The 18110-nt window shown below is 36.2% G+C and overlaps 1 protein-coding gene across 2 annotated transcripts in view; it reads right to left on the bottom strand.

Annotated features, from left to right (window-relative positions):
• CRYBG3 (crystallin beta-gamma domain containing 3) overlaps nt 1–18110 on the bottom strand; it is a 122974-nt gene that overhangs the window by 15384 nt on the left and 89480 nt on the right. For both annotated transcript variants that reach the window (NM_153605.4, XM_005247117.5), the window contains 2 exons: nt 17325–17434; nt 13865–13991 (listed from right to left, as the gene is read on the bottom strand). In NM_153605.4, coding sequence (NP_705833.3) covers nt 13865–13991; nt 17325–17434 — 237 coding nt within the window. The remainder of the gene's footprint in view (nt 1–13864; nt 13992–17324; nt 17435–18110) is intronic.

Below are 18110 nucleotides of genomic sequence, written 5' to 3'. Positions count from 1 at the left end.
GAGAACATCTACTGTTTTTGAAGCTTTGATTTTTTTCTACTTTATTTTAATTTAAATATTTAATTTATAAGTATACTTGAATTATAAATGTATTTAAAGGTTAGGAAGATTAGGAAAGTCAACACAGTGCTAACCTGGGCAGGATGATGGGGGGTGGTTAATAATCTTTTGGAAATAAAGGGTACTGAAGAACTATTAATATTTTAAAATCATATTTTTCTGATACATTTCCCTAACATGAAAATAGGAAGAGAGATCAACTATTAATAATCTTTAAAACTGAAGATGACACAGTAATCCGAACTTTCCAAGCATAAAAAAAAAAATATTTGATTACAGTTTGAGCTCCACAAATGTCTTCGCCTTAGTCCATGTTAACTTTGAAGCTGGCCAACCATTTGTGGCTAAAGGCTCTTCTTAGATGTCAGCAGTTAACAGGACATTCCTGCCGGATTAAGTCTAAATCATGCAAAGAGGATACAGTTTCTAAAAGGAAGATGTAGTTGTCAAAGAAAAAGAATACTCGACCAAATTGTATAAATGAAAATTTCAATACAAAAGAAGAAAACTCATTGTTCCTCCTCATCCCATCAACTAAAATAATAATTTAAATAATTTAAGTGATAATAACAGTAGAAACTAACATATATAGCACTTAATATGTGCTGGGAATTATTGTTCTAAGTTATATACCTATATCTGTATCCATCCATAGATATATATGTGCAATACCTTATTCATTGTTCTGAAATCCAAAAAGCTTTAAAATCAAAAATTTTTTTCCTAGTCAACATAACTCTACCTGAATAAATTGAAGTCTATTTATAATACTACCCAATTTGTGTAGCTGTGCATAAATTTCACTATAGGAACAGAAATATGTTTAATTAGGGGTACAGTCCAGAACCCTGCTGGGTGTGTTTCCTTTTAGGCCATACATGAATCATATTACTGTTTAAAATTTGAAAAACTTTAAATCCCAAAATACATTCAGTTTAGGGATTGCAGAACTGTATTTTTTCATTTTTTTTCCTATCAACTTTTATTTTCTGTTCTGGGGTATATATGCAGGGTTGTTACATGGATAAATTGCATGTCACAGGGGTTTCATGCACAGATTATTTCATCGCCAGGTAATAAGCATAGTACCCAATAGGTGGTATTTCAATCCTCACTCTCCTCCCACCCTCTCTGCTCAAGCAGGCCCTGGTGTTTATTGTTCCCTTCATAGTGCCCATGTGTATTTAATGTTTATCTTCTACTTATAATTGAAAACATTACATATTTGGTTTTCTGTTCTTGTGTTAATAAGCTTCAGATAATGGCCTCCAGCTGCATCCATGTTGCTGCAAAGAACATATTCGATATTCTGCTTTTTTTATGGCTGCACAGTATTCCATGGTGGCTATGTACCACATTTTCTTTATCCAGTCCAACGTTGATGGGTACCTAGGTTGATTCCATGTCTTTGCTATTGTGAATAGTGCTGCCCTGAATATACATGTGCATGTGTCTTTATGATAGAATGATTTATATTCCTTTGAGTATATACCCAGTAATGGAATTGCTAGGTCAAATGGTAGTTCTACATTCTTTGAGAAATCTCCAAACTGCTTGCCACAGTGGATGAACTAATGCACATTCCTACAACCAGTGTAAACATTCCCTTTTCTCCACAATCTCACTAGCATCTGTTATTTGTTGACTTTTTAATAACAGCCATTTGGACTTGTATGAGATGGTATCTCACTGTGTATTTGATTTGCATCTCTCTACTGATTAGGGATGTTGAGCATTTTTTCATATGCTTGTTGGCCATATGCATATCTTCTTTTGAGAAGTGTCTGTTCATGTCCTTTGCTCCCTTTTTAATGGGGTTGTTTGTTTTTTGCTTGTTGATTTGTTCCTTTTAGATTCTGGATATTAGACCTTTGTTGAATGCATAGTTTGTGAATATCTTCTCCCATTCTGCTGACTGTTTACTCTGTTGATAGTTTCTTTTGCTGTGCAGAAGCACTTTAGGTTAGGTCCCATTTGTCAATTTTTGTTTTTGTTGTAATTCCTTTTGGGGGCTTCCTCATAAAATCTTTGCCAGGGCCCACGTCCAGAATGGTATTTCCTAGATTTTCTTCTAGGGTTTTTTACAGTTTTAGGTTTTATATTTTAGTCTTTAATCCATCTTGAGTTATTTTTTGCAAATGGTGAAAGCAAGGGGTTCAGTTTCAATATTATGCATATGGCTAGCCAATTATTCCAGCACCATTTACTGAATAGGGAGTCCTTTCCCTACTGTTTATTCTTGTCAACTTTGTCAAAGATCAAATTTTTGTAGGTGTGAGGCTTTATTTCTGAGTTCTCTAACCTTTTCCATTGGCCTCTGTGTCTGTTTTTTGTACCAGTATCATGCTGTTTTGGTTACTGTAGCCTTGTAATATAGTTTGAAATCGGGTGGCATGATGCCTCCAGCTTTGTTCTTTTTGCTTAGGATTGCCTTGGCTATTTGGGCTCTTTTTTGGTTCCCATGTGAATTTTAGAATAGCTTTTTTCTAATTCTGTGAAAAAATGTTGGTACTTCGGTAGGAACAGTATTGAATCTGTAAATAGCTTCGGGCAGTATGGCCATTTTAATGACATTGATTTTTCCTATCCATGAGCATGGAGTGTTTCCCTTTGTTTGTGTTGTCTCTGAGTTCTTTCAGCAGTGTTCTGTAATTTTCATTGTAGAGATCTTTCACCTCCCTGGTGAGCTGTATATCTAGATATTTTATTCTTTGTGTCTATTGTGAATGGAATTGCATTCTTGATTTGGCTCTCAGCTTGGACGTTACCGGTGTATAGAAATGCTACTGATTTTTCTACACTGATTTTGTATCCTGAAATATTACTGAAGTTAATTATCAAATCTAGGACCCTCTGGGCAGAGACTATGGGGTTCTCTAAGTATAGAATCATATCATTTGTAAAGAGAGATAGCTTGACTCCCTTTTTTTCTATTTGGATGCCTTTTACTTCTTTCTCTTGTGGGCTTGTTCTGGCTAGGTCTTCCAGTGCTATACTGAACAGCAGAGGTAAGAGTGGGCATCCTTCTCCTGTTCCAGTTTTCAAGGGAATGCTTCCAGCTTTTACTCATTCAGTATGATGCTGGCAATGGGCTTGTCATATAAGTCTCTTTATTATTTTGTGATATGTTCCTTCAATGCCTAGTTTGTTAAGGGTTTTTATCATTAAGGGATACTGAATTTTATTGAAAGCCTTTTCTGCATCTATTGAGATAATTATGAGGATTCTGTTTTTAGTTCTGTTTATGTAATAAATCACATTTATTGATTTGTATATATTGAACCAACTTTACATCCCAGGAATAAAGCCTACTTGATTGTGGTGGATTAACTTTTTGATGTCCTGCTGGATTCAGTTTGCCAGTACTTTGTTGAGGATTTTTGCATCTTTGTTCATCAGGCATATGGGCCTGAAGTTTTGTTTCTCCATGTGTTTCTGTCAGGTTTTGGTATTAGAATGATGCTGGCCTCATAGAATGAGTGGTCAGAAACACGCCCAGGGTCACTCAGCTAACAGTTATTAATGGTAGAGTCAGGACTTGAACCAAGAAGGTCTCTAAGACATTCAAACCAAACTCTTCACCAGTAAACTATAATCCTTCTCATAGAGCCTCTCTCATTTGGTTTAGAAAGTCAGTTTCAACATGGATTTACCTTTCTTACTGATCTTTGTTTTCTCCTTATTTAAAAAAAAATTATGATACATTTTAAAAAGAATAACATAGATGACCATATACCTAAAACCCAGAAGTATTACATTTTAATTTTACTATATTTGTATCACATTTTAAAATAAATAAAACATAGCAAATACAGATGAATTTAAACTCCCACCACCCCCAGAGGTGACCACTATGCTCAAGTTGTAAATCTTTTCAGCTCATGTTTTTCTGTTTCTATTAATGGTTATGCATCTTTTGTTTTTAAAATTTACAGAAAATGTATTCTATTGTAACATCTTTAGTAGCCTGCTTTCCTTGCCTACTGTGTTTGAAATTTGACTCTTCATACGTGTAGCTGTCCAATTCATTGTAACTACTATATTTCATTCCCTTATAGGAATGTGTGGTTATTTGTTTCATCCATCATAGCTGCAACAGACATTCTTATTCCCCCCACCATTGTAATTAACACTTCTTCCACTAGCTATATATGAATAATCTTACTTCCCTGCAACTAAGCCAAACCTTAGTATTTTCAGATTTTAAAATGCCTGTAGCTAGAGTAAGCTAATGTTATTTATAATTGTTTTAATTTGTATTTCCTTGATCAGTAGTGAGGGTTAACATCCTTTGGATGTCCTGAGCCATTTTTCCCTCTTCTATAAACTGCCTATTTATATCCTCTGTTGGTTTTTGAAGTGGATTTTTCTGAATTGGTTTGAAAGAGCTCTTCTAATTATTTTATTTATTTATTTATTTGTAGAGACAGGGACCAGCCATGTCCAGGCTCTTCTGAACTCAAGCAGTCCTCCCAGGTCAGCCTCCCAAAGCACTGGAATTACAGATGTGAGCCACCACACCCAGCTAAGAGCTCTTCTTATATTCGGTACACTAAACCTTTGTAGGTTATATGGACTGCAAATATATTCTGTGGCTTGCTGTGGCAGTCTGAATAATTAATGCCTGCCTCCTCTCCCTACCCCACAAATGTTCACATCCTAATTCTTAGAACCTGTGAATATGGTGAATATGTTGAATATGTTACCTAACATGGTCAAGAGGTACTTTACAGATATTAGTAATTAAGGACCTTGAGATAGGCACAATCATCTAGATTACTCAGGTAAGCCCAAAGTGGCCACCAGGGTCCCTGTAAGAGGAAGGTAGGAGGGTTAAGAGACAGCAGATAAAGAGCAGAGACTAGAGTGATGCACTTTGAAGATGAAAGAAGGTCATGAGTTAAGGAATGCTGGTGGCCTCTAGAAGCTAGAAAAGGTAAGGAAATGGGTTCTCCCCTAGAGCTTCCCAGATGAAATGACTGCCAACACCTTAATTTTACCACAGTAAGACCAATTTCAGACTTCTGACTTGTGGAACTGCAAGACTGTAAATATCTGTCATCTTAAGCTACTAAGTTTACAGTAATTTGTTACATCAGCAATAGGACACTAATACATTTGCCTTTCACCTTTTTCTTATTCATTTGTGCTTTTTCTGTTTGAAGAAATCCATCCTACTGCAGTATCATCAGGGTAGATTCCTATATTTTCTTCTAAGTTGTAAAGTTTGCTTTTCACATTTAGCTTGTTATTAATCCATCTGGAACTTATTTTTGTGTTTGGAGTAAAGTAGGATTCTAACTATCTTTTTCCATGGAATGGGTCAATTGTCTCAACACCATTTATTTAACAGTTCATCATAGCTCCATTGGAATGCTGTTATCTTCCAAATTCCATTACTATATAGGTCAGTTTCCATGCTACCCTATTCCTCTGTCCCATTTGTCTCTCCTTGTACTGATTCCCACTAATTATTACTGCTGTATAAAGCAATATATACTTGGTAGGATAAGTGACCCTACATGTTGTTCTTAAAAATTATCTTGGCGATTTTTGACCCAATAGCTTTTCCAAATTAATCATAGGATAAGCTTGCCATGTTTTACTCCCCACCTCTACCCCCTAAAAGGAGAGAACACTGTGTTTTGCCTGAAACAATATTAATTTGGGGAAGACCATATCTTTACAATATTGAGTCCTTTTACCTATAAAAGATTGTATCTCTCAATGTTTACTTCCTTCAAGAGTTTTTATAAAATTCCTAGGAAAAAAACTTATTCCCTTGTGTTAGATTTATTTATAAGTACCCTTAATTTCTATGGTTTAATTGCTATTTATCTTATACTCTGCAACTTTTAAAAATGTGCTTTAGCCCTAATAATTTATCATTTACACCATAGATGCTCTTGCCAGTTTTGTTTTCTCCTTTTTTGTTTTAATCTTATTTTATTTTTTAGATTTTTTTTTATTAGATAGAACTTCAGAATACCGAATAGTAGTGGTAATAGGGAGACCTTTGCCTGCTGCCTGAATTTAAAGAGCGCTGTTTCAGATATCTCACTGGGAAGTGTGATGTTTACTGTAAGTTTTTGTTGGCCTGCATTTTCAAAATGTGCATAATAGTTAATACCATTAACTATATATATAGGTTCAGCTAAAAAGTTTAATAGTAACCAAATTCTTCTACACTTTTTTTTATTATTATTATACTTTAAGTTCTAAGGTACATGTGCACAACATGCAGGTTTGTTACATATGTATACATGTGTCATGGTGGTGTGCTGCACCCATTAACTTGTCATTTACATTAGGTATTCCTCCTAATGCTATCCCTCCTGACTCCCCCAACCCCATGACAGGTCCTGGTGTGTGATGTTCCCTGCCCTGTGTCCAAGTGTTCTCATTGTTCAATTCCCACCTATGAGTGAGAACATGTGGTGTTTGGTTCTCTGTCCTTGTGACAGTTTGCTTAGAATGATGGTTTCCAGCTTCATCCATGTCCCTACAAAGGACATGAACTCATCCTTTTTTATGGCTGCATAGTATTCCATGGTATATATGTGCCACATTTTCTTAATCCCGTCTATCATTGATGGACATTCGGGTTGGTTCCAAGTCTTTGCTATTGTGAATAGTGCCACAATAAACATATGTGTGCATGTGTCTTTATAGCAGCATGATTTATAATCCTTTGGGTATATACCCAGTAATGAGATTGCTGGGTCAAATGGTATTTCTAGTTCTAGATCCTTGAGGAATCGCCACACTGTCTTCCACAATGGCTGAACTAGTTTACAGTCCCACCAACAGTGTAAAAGTGTTCCTATTTCTCCACATCCTCTCCAGCACCTGTTGTTTCCTGACTTTTTAATGATCGTCATTCTAACTGGTGTGAGATGGTATCTCACTGTGGTTTTGATTTGCATTTCTCTGATGGCCAGTGATGATGAGCATTTTTTCATTTGTCTATTGGCTGCATAAATGTCTTCTTTTGAGAAGTGTCTGTTCATATCCTTTGCCCACTTTTTGATGGGGTTGTTTGATTTTTTCCTGTAATTTGTTTGAGTTCTTTGTAGATTCTGGATATTAGCCCTTTGTCAGATAGGTAGATTGCAAAAATTTTCTCCCATTCTGTAGGTTGCCTGCTCACTCTGATGGTAGTTTCTTTTGCTGTGCAGAAGCTCTTTAGTTTAATTAGATCCCATTTGTCAATTTTGGCTTTTGTTGCCATTGCTTTTGGTGTTTTAGTCATGAAGTCCTTGCCCATGCCTATGTCCTGAATGGTATTGCTTAGGTTTTCTTCTAGGGTTTTTATGGTTTTAGGTCTAACATTTAAGTCTTTAATCCATCTTGAATTAATTTTTGTCTTCTACACTTTATAAACTCATTCCTTCCTTTCATTCTGAGGCTGGATTTATAGTCTCCCTCTATTTGTAGCTGTGCCTCTTATTCAGTATCCTTCTACAGAATGAATCATTGTCTTGCCAACTCTTATTCTACTTCCTAAGATCATTTATGTTATCACAGTCTTAATTTTATCTGAAGTTTTTCTACAGCCTCTTGTTATAATGTTTCTTTGGTTTTGCCTCCTTGGAGCTGCCAGGGCTGGATTATTACTTCAAAGGCAGCCAAACTTCCATTCCAAGGCCCCAGTGGGGAAATTAGAGAAGCAACCAGCTAACTACTGCTCCCATGGAAATGCAATAAAATAGGTTACCCTACACACTCCTGGTCCAGCGCTTAAATGTTTTATGCAATAGTCTGAAAAGTCGCAGTTAACTCCACCTTAGATCAATCAACAGGTTCTCATGTATCTTGCTCCTGTCTATATATGCTATTATTCTTTTAATACCCAGTCTGACTTTAAAGCATTTCATCAATAGCTAGCAGCTGGAAATTACCATTTTTTCAACTTAGGTTCCCCACCATCCCCCAACTTCTAAAGCTATTATTATAATATTGTAAATGGATAAGACACAAACCTATAGTAAGTCCAAAGTACAACCCCTCTTATGGAATGAGCTCTGAAGTAGAAGAATGAACTTTATACAACTACTGCCTATATATTTTTAGGCATGAATGAATGAGTTTATTTAGTCAGCTTATTACATAATGGACTCTTGATATTTTTATAGCATTGTGCTAAGTAGAGGGGACATAAGAGTGACAGAATTCAAAGCTACAATAAATATAAATCATCCCCTCAATGGCTTTGCAGTTTCAGTAACTGTGATGAAAAGGAGAAAGTGAAAAGCATCTTAAGATGCAGAGAAAGAATATTAAGGCAGACAAAAGTCACTTTAAGAAATGAGGATCACTGAAGGCTTCCTAGAATTGAGGTCCTTTAAATTAGATCTCAAAGAATTTAGAGAGGGGAAAGAAAAACTTCATTCTATGTTTCCACATAAAAACACAAAATAGAGAAAGTTTAAGGAAGGTATTGGGAGGGGGGAGGGAAAGCTTGTAAACAGGATACATGAAAATGATTGAGCAATAATATTGGAAAAGTAGGACCTAATGTCATGGTCTGGGCTTTATGGGAAGGCTACATGCTCAATGCTGCAAATAAAAAGAACTGAAAAAGAAAGAGGCCAAAGGAAGAAAATTACTTATGTACCCATCACAACAGTTTTAGAAAGACAGAATGAGGCTCTAAACTTAGTCATGACAATGGAAAGGAGATAAGAGGAAAAGCTTAAGACATATCATGGGGCTGGGTGTGATGGCTCACACCTGTAATCCCAGCACTTTGGGAGGATGAGGCAGGCAGATCCCTTGAGGTCAGGAGTTTGAGAACAGCCTGGCCAACATGGTGAAACCCCGTCTCTACTAAAAATACAAACATTAGCTGGGAGTGATGGCACGTGCCTGTAATCCCAGCTACTTGGGAGGCTGAGGCATGAGAATTCCTTGAACTTGGGAGGCGGAGGTTGCAGTGAGCCAAGATGGTGCCACTGCACCCCAGCCTAGGTGACAGAGCCAGACTCTATCTAAAAAAAGTGGGGGGAGGGGGGTAATGATGATTGCTTTCAACAGAAACAGAGCAGAAAAGAAGAACAAGTCTATGAAGGAAAATGGGATGCTGGCAAAACATGCTGAAGACCCATGTGGAATCTGGGAATGAAGCTCAGGGAATAACTGAGTACTGCTTACTCTAGATATCTGCAAATCTTCTACACTGATGGAGGTAAGAGCTGATGTTATGATAATGAAAATTTCTAAGTACAGGAGAGGAAAGGCCAAGAATAGGTATCTGAGAAACATCTACACTTGAGAGACCAAGAGTAAGATAACACTTAGATTTGATGAGTTTGTTATGCCATCTAATTCTTTTTTAATTCATATTCAGTACTTAGCACAGTATTTAGTAAAGAGCAGGTGTTCAATACTTTAGATTGAATAAATATAAAATGCATCTTCAGCAATGGTGTTATTGTGCAGCATTTGTGATATTTATATAAAGAATTCAGCTGGACGGTGCAGTGGTTTGTACCTGTAATCCCAGCACTTTGGGAGGCTGAGGCAGGTGGATCCCTTGAGCCCAGGAGTTTGAGACCAGCCTGGGCAACACGGTGAAACCCCATCTCAACCAAAAAAACACACAAAAACTAGCCAGACATGGTGGTGCACACCTGTAGTCCCAGCTACTTCGGAGGCTGAGATGGGAGAAAGAATTCAGCCACCTTAAATATTTTTCTTTGATCAAAGCAAAATGGAGTACCTTTAAACTTTCTTCTACAAAATTACTAATCAGATGTGTTTTTCATTCATGGAACTCTACACCAACGCCCCAAGCATCATCCTAAGCCTTTTTTTTTTTTTTTTTAATCATTTTATTGCCCTTTTCCACCCAGTATGATTACTCCTAAATATAGAAGGCTTTGGTTTCAGCCCCCACAAAACACTTAAACTTCCTTAGGCATGATATTCAATCTTTTTCATCTTAAAAGGTCTTCTTGTAATCACTGTTAAGCAATCAAGCCATTACCAAACCAAGGCTACTGAAAAACTTAAAGAGAAGACAATAGAAACCCATTCACCATGTTTTGAGATAGATATTTAGGCCTATTATTAGTCATGTAATTTTTCCAGATATATATCTCTGAGAAGAGCCTGATGAAAACCCTGGGTTTTAGTTCACTTTCCTAATTCTAGGCCACCTAATTTGTTATTATTTTTCCCAGATGCTTACATAGAGCTGTCTTAGTATGATTAAATTAAATTTCCCTATATTAAATTACCTGATGATTTTAGAATTCTAAATGAATTTTGAAAGAGAACTGGGGACCATATTCTGAGGCAGACTTTTGTACTTGTCTACCATATACTTCATTTGAGAGCCACCAAACCACCTCCAGACTGTCACTAAAAATTAATCTCAAGTTTTTAAAAGGAAGTTAGCTCTGCTACAGTGGCAGAGATAAATTATTAAAATTTCACCTCCTTTCATTTTCTCCAAAATCTAGTAACAGAGAACACCTCTATGAGTTTATACATCTCTGATAGATTGTATTATTGTTTGAATATACTTTGTCAACTTCATCCCTGCCCAAGTGAGAGTCTATTCCCCTGCCTAATTTATGTCAGGCTTGGTCTTATGACTTGCTTTTGGAAACAGAATGTGAGTGGACACAATGATGTGTGCATAGGCAAAATGAATCTGAGCAGAAGCTTCAAATGTGACTCTGTGATTGTGACCTTGCTCCCTCTTTCCCCTGTCATGAAAATAGTCATGTCCCCAATTGGAGGTGCTCCCATTAGCCTGGTCCCAATGCAAAGCATATATCAAAAGTGTATCTAAAGCCAACTAACAAGCCTAAAGTGGAGGCCATGCAACTGTCTTGCCATTTTGAGATAAAATATGAAAATGAAACGAACATTTGTTTTAAACCACTATGATTCTGGAGACTGTTGTGAAAGCTAATACATGATATTATTCCTTCTGACCTTGTGAATCCTAAAGCCAGATAAATTCTTTTTCATATCCAATTAGAAATATGACCAGGATACTTATTTGCAACAGAACTGGAGGCTGTCCATGATTTGAAAATACCTGTTCTAACAGTTTCTTTACAGAAGAATTAACTGAGATACAGATAAATTAAGAGATTTGCTTAAGGTCATATTCGTTAGAAGCAGAACTATGAACTACACTCCTAGCTCCATTCACTATAAAATGACTGCAACACTGCAAACTATGTGTCAATGCCCCTCTAGAATGTAACCTTCACCTGTACCAACAGAAGTTAGCCTGGAGCACACTGTCATTTTCAAAATATACTTATCTTCTATGAAGATGAAATCTTAAGACTTCTCAATATTATACCATTGTGACACTTAAGCACCAAGCCATAGCATGTCTGGGAATACCAACTGCAGGCAACATCCCTAGAATTCTGCAGTTTTAACTAACAAAAGCAAAAGCAAAGGATTACCTCATACTTACATAATGTCAACTTAATTACACAGAAACATTTCCTGGAATGAATCCAGAATTACACTGGATTGTGGCATAGGCAGCAGTATTAGGAAATCTACGAAAAAAGGCATATCAATTCCTAACTACGAAGATAGTGGGGAGAATCACAGAAAGAATCAGAATGAATCAGAGAAGCAGAATAGGTAGTGTATCTAGCACTGTCCAGGGAAATGAGACAGAATCTGGAGGGTGTGAGCAACTGGGACCTAGAGAGTAAAAGGACTCTCTTTTAGGAGGAACATTAGCCTACAGGCTAATCTCAAGGTATCTACCTTATTTTACCCAAATCTTATGCTCAACAAATAACCTCCTGATGACTAATTCAGTTTCCCTTGTTCTTCCAGAGAGGGGGAAAAAGTGCCCAGGACAGAATTTTCGAGCATTCCAGTCACTAGAATCCACTTATTACAAAACACTAAATTGACCTTCTGGTTTACATAGCAATCTCCCTAGGTCTGATCAACTTAAGGCTTTGGGACCCCTGTTGAGGTGTCTTCATGGTCACTTTGCAGATCTTTGTAGGATATCCAAACTCCCTCATGTTCCTCCCACAAACCTGCTGCTATAACACATCTTCGCAAAAGATGTTTTAAATATTTTCAGTATATTATGAATGGCATTAAGATAACTAACATGCTACCCTTACATAAACTGAATATATTCTTTAACCAATTCTTGAAGTGAAAAGTCTATAGATTTCAAGTACTTCCCAATAGGCACCTTCACTTATGCTGCCTGGATAAAAACTAGGACCAAAAACAGGACCAAAACTAGGGACATGCCACTCCACATGACAACTTACATGAAAACATCTCTGTTTATTTTCATCCCAAATTTTTCATTTTACACTTCATGAATCTAAAGGAATTATAACCCTTCAAAGAAAAATAGTAACACTAATTTTGACCCTGCTTCTAAAATGCCCTCCCTAGAAATTTTGTTGGTTTAGTTCACTGAATTAAGAGTTGTACAAAACCCTTTCAGGATAGTACTTTCAAATTTAGACCTCTATCTTTTGCTTTTAGAGTTAACACCAAGTAAGTATCTTTCTGCTGATTTGGCCACTAAAAATTGTTTAAAAAATTGCTTTCCAGTAAACATGGACTACCTTCCAATGTCTTTTCCAGCATTATCAAAGACTGCAGAGACTTGCCAGATCACATTATTTTTTTTAAACCATTTTTCCTCCAACAGACAAGAAGTATTAGTAGCCACTTATTCTTTCCATGTTGGTGTCTACAGAGCCACTGAGAGAGACCAAGAACACTATTTATATTCTTGTTCTCAGCCAAGACTCTATAATTAGTCTGATACCAAGAATACTCTATCCAGGAATGCCTTGTGAAATAGGACTACATTGCTTAGGTTGAGATCAAAGATCCTGAGTATGGCTATTATCCTTGGAGTCAGCTCTGACAGAAAGGTTTGAGTTACTGCAACTATTATGTAGAGTTTCTAATCAGCTCTGTGTAAAACTGAAGCTTTGACCAAACATATCCCCAAGGAATTGTCATAATTAGATATCTTGAAAGTATCCCAGATCCTCACTACCTCCTCTGCACAGATCCTATTGACTAGGGGCCCAGAATTGATGTCCTGGAGTTGTGATCCCATTTATCTCACATTTGAAATTCTAAATAAATGTGGTAAAAAGGAAAACCTACTTACTCTATAAATATGGGCCTCAGAGGTGACCCAGATCATTCTGCACACACCAGACAGAAAGGCCCTGGTTCCCAAAAACAGGTTTGAATTTAGTATCTGTGGTGGCCCATGCCTTAAAGTAACATAGTTAACCTTAGTAGCAGACAAACTGTCATGTGACTTACCTAGTAGAATAATAAAGTGGTCAGGTTATTTTTATACTTAAGCAGCTATAAGAATAACAACCATGGTACTAATAGCTAACATTTAAATGAGAACTCACCATATGCTGTGCACTTTATAAGCATCATCTCATTTAATATCCCAATGGCCTTGTAAGTGCTATTGTTATTATTTTATTTTTATTTTTACAGATGGGTAAACAAGTAACTTTGCCAATGTCACTCAAATTGATTAAAGTATCAAACTGGGAGTTGAGGCCTACATTATTCTAGTTCTTGAGTTTTACACCTCTGCTTTTTTTAAAAAAGGAGAATATTACATTTTTGTTGGAGTTCATGAATGAACCTCAGTTTTACGATTGACAAATGAATTATTCATATTTTTCAGATTTTTATATTTCTCCTTGTATCATTTCTTCCAACTTCACATTATCATTGGTGGTAATTAAACTGGACAAGAAAAAGAATCTTATAAGTATGCATTTTGCAAAGTACTTACATAGTCAATGGGCTTGAGAGATTTGACTTTAGATGCTGGGCAACCGCAGGAAGTAAGGTCAGCATAGAGGCCTTCTTCTAACACACAGTGATTAACAAACATGTCTTCTTGGTAATAGAGGAGCCAGCTAAAAGCCAAGCAGTAAGACATTCAATCAAATTGCATTCACTTGGCAGTATAGGCTCATTATCATGCTGTGGGAATTGGGGTAGGGGTAGGGCATAGAAAGTGGTGCAGAGCACCACCACACCAGCTTTAAAAAAACAAAAAACACAACAGCTACCACTATCATTCCTCAACTGCTTATGATGCGCCAGGCATTAGGCTGGGCACTTTACATATACTATTTCATGGTGTCCTTAATAATTCTATGAGTTAGGAACATCCTCATTTTTATAGGCAGCAAAAGTAAGGATTAGAAAGGTAAGGTGATTTTCCCATGGTTCCTCAAACTACTCAATGATAGAGATGAAATTTGAAATAAGACAATGTGTGCTTTAAGCTAAAGACATTCTTTTTATTTAGTGCCTTCAAGTATAGCACTCTGGGATTAGATTAGGGTGATTATTAAGTACCTGAACAGATTATAAGTTCTTTTTGGGAAAAATTAAAAATGTTTGTATTCAGTTTAGATGAGTATAGAAGACAGATTGTTTTAAAAATCACACAAGAGTATATAAAACCTGTCACCTAGAAATCTGACAACTAATGGAAAATTTTAAAAAGAAATAAATCCCTTAGAATCTTCAATAGTGAGTTATCTTCAATACAGCATTCATCAAAAGTTTGCTAAACACAGCCTTTTGAAAAGAAGGAGCCCAAGGGAAAAATTAAATGGCTGTTACTAATTTAGTTTTGGTGTGGTTAAGTTCTAGCCCTGTATTTTAAGATCACCAGAACTGCACTCTTGCTAGACCAGTTTAACTTTGGAAAACCGTAGAAATGCTGTGTGACATTATAATTTACTGTCATGTCTTCTAATGTAATAAGCATTTCATAATCAACACTTATCAAAGGTTTCTAGTGTGCCAGGCATAAAGCTAGTGCATTATTTTATTTAGCCCTTGTAAGAAACCTTTGAGGTAGGTACCGTTATTACCCCTCCTTTACAGATGAGGAAGCTGAGGTTCAGAGCGATGACTCATTTTGCCTAAAGTTATATAGCTAGAAAATGGTGGAACTGGGCTCAAATCCAGGTCTCTCACACATTCCAGGTGTTTACACAATGGCCATAGTTCTTGTATTCTTTTATCCTGCTGTTGTATGTTTCCTACATGAAGAGACATGTGTGACTAGTTTGTCCTAGAATTCAGTGTCAAGAAAAATACATTTTCCTCCAGAAAAACTTCAATGCTTCTCATTAACAATGATCCTAAATCTTGTAAAATATTTTCTTTTATCTTAGTGGAGAAGGAACTTAGAGCCAAATAATAGTAACAAAATTATTTCAGGTCCTTGCTGTGTGTGTGTGTATTTCTTATTAGAGTTGCAGATCTCTATTTAACTTATACTGCCCTACTTTATGTGTTTTAATGTAAAACTCTCATTTCCTTTTCAGAGGTAAGTATATAAACAAAAACAAATACAAGGAGGCTCAAGGCAGAACAGCTATAGGAAATAGGAGAAGGAAAGGACTGCTTGATTTAGGGTTAATCAAGAAGGTGAACAGAAATAATAGAGTGGACTGAACCTTAAAGAATATATCTGAATTATTATTAAGCAGGGGTCACAAGCTTATATACCTGCAGGAGACCACACAGGTAATGCAGATGAGTAGTGTACCAGGTGGAAAAAAATTGGGAATGGTGGTGATTATGGTATGCTGGAAAGCACATATGCAATCTACTCACTACCAGCTAATTACCGACAAAGACAAAAGCTTTCTCCAAGTCGTAAAATCTTCTGATTTTTAAAGAGAAGGTGGAAAACAGCTTCTTCTGAAAAATATCCTAAACGTAAGTATTAATACAATTTTTTTAACTTAGTGTATAGCCCAAACAAATGACACCTGCTGGCTAGATTTACCAGAGACCTCCAACCTTTGGTATGAAACAGGTGTCAGCAAACTACAGCATGTGGGCCAAATCTGCCCCACTGCTTGTTTTCAAACAGCCTATAAGCTAAGACTGGTTTTCACATTTTCAGAGGGCTTAAAAATTTAAAAGAAGACTATTTCATGACATGTAAATGTTACATACAATTAAAATTTCAATGTCCATAAATAATGTTTCATTGGAACGCAGCTGTGCCTATTGGTTTGTGTATTGTGTATGGCTGCTTTTGTGCTACATCTAATAGCAGTGTTGACAGTAGCTGGGACAGAGCCTGTGGAACCCACAAAGTCAAAAATATTCACTATCTGATTCTTTATAGTTAAAGTTTGCTGACCCCTGGTATAGTGGGTACGGAGGAAAGCAAATGTTAGAAGAGAGGAGAATAGGATGGGAAATGGATAGGGAAAGGAGGCTAGTTGATGGTAAGGTCAAGAAAAGAAAGAGCTTGAACTTGATCGGACTGGTACTAGAAAACGGCTGGGAATTAAAGCATTAGTAAAAATATTAAACTGGATTTTGGGACACATAATTGTACTGTGATTTGTTTGGGGTAAACACTAGAAATAAGATGACACTGAAGCAGGGGGTAATTAAGAGACTGAAGTTTTTCAAGTGAAAAATAGAAGGCCCAGGTCTCTAATGATTCAAGGGAGAAAGGAGGAAAACTGACAAACCTAAGATATTTTAAAAGAAAAGAGAGACTTTGATAGGTTATTAGGTAGATGTTTGATACATAGAGATGCCAATGAACTGTACAGTTAAAGATAGTTAAAATGGTAAATTTTATGTTACATATATTTTAGCACAATAAAAAAATTGTAGAATATATTTTAGCCATGGGAATCACATGTAGTTTCATATACACGTGAAAAATATACAGTATATTGTTGCCATTGGAAGAATATCAGATTCAGAGATGAGAAAAAAAAAGACCAAAGGAATCATGGGTCTGAAATTTGGTATGTGATCTTGGAAAACCTTAACTCTGAACCTGGTTTCTGCATCTGTGAAATGGGGATGATAAATACTTTGTTAAAAGGTTAAAAAAATTAGGATTAATATGTCTTACTTGAATAAAAACACCAGGTATTTTTATAGCATTCTACTATGTGAGACGGTAAATATACAATATAAACATTCAAAATATTTAGGAAATAATCTGAGATCACAGTGAGAGACAAAAATCAAAATGTTCCCTAAGTTGGTTAATCAGCATTCTGTTTTTCTGTATTCCATCACAGCTCAAAATACAAATTAAGCAAAATTAATATAGACCAGTTAGCAGGTAAAATGCCTGTTGAAGATAAATTTTAAGGATTCACTGTGCATGCAAAAAATATATCTCTGTAAATTTAAAAGTATTAGTTATTAAATAACAGCAGAAACCACTAAGTAAGCATACTTACCAACCTCGAAGAACTTTAAAAGAACATGGCATGAGTGAAGTCAAATCAGAAGTTTCTTCTGTAAAATCTATACATTCACCTTGGAACCCTGGTTTGCTGAATGCTTTGAGCTACAAGAACAACAACACAACAGTTAAATAGAAAAAAAATGGTCTTAGATGATCACGAGCAAATAAAAACCTTTAATTTCATGAATTTATAAAATGCAGCAAAATATCAGACTCATGTTTTATCTATTATCAATGAATTCATGTTAGGGATAATGATATGCTCCTTAAACTTGCTTTCTTACATGTATTCAGGAATGGAATGTCACTGTTTGTTTACCATTTTCTTGCCTCTCTTCCACCAAATTGTGGGAAGAGAGGCCTAGAAATCAATTCTACCTAGAAGAGTACATCAGAGTCCTCCCTCCACTAACATGTGGTCCTTTATTCTCTCAAAAAATCATTATGCCCTATGTTGAGACTAGATGTATAAAATAAGAAGCAATTTAGTGCTAAACCTGAAAGAGGCTTAGATTAGTATGAGGCTACATGGTATGCTGCTTCTCTCCCTAGCTCTTCCTGATCCACAGTTAATATAAGAAGAGGAGAGCACGAGCACATGCCCTTAAGCAAGCACTAAGAGTGCCCAGGAGGGCACAGAAGCAGATGGCAGAGGAGATAATAATGACGGGATTAGTGGAAGATTTCTGGTGAAGAAAGAAAGATATCTGTGTTATGTATTTCAGCTTACAGGCTTCGGTTTTCTGATAAGAATACCTTAAATGTGCAGCTTACAGTT

The sequence above is a fragment of the Homo sapiens genome, chromosome 3, assembly GCF_000001405.40.
Source record: "Homo sapiens chromosome 3, GRCh38.p14 Primary Assembly".
NCBI classification, from domain to species: Eukaryota; Metazoa; Chordata; class Mammalia; order Primates; family Hominidae; genus Homo; species Homo sapiens.
Note: the sequence above shows the minus strand (reverse complement) of the source record. Positions and strands in the feature narration are given on the sequence as shown.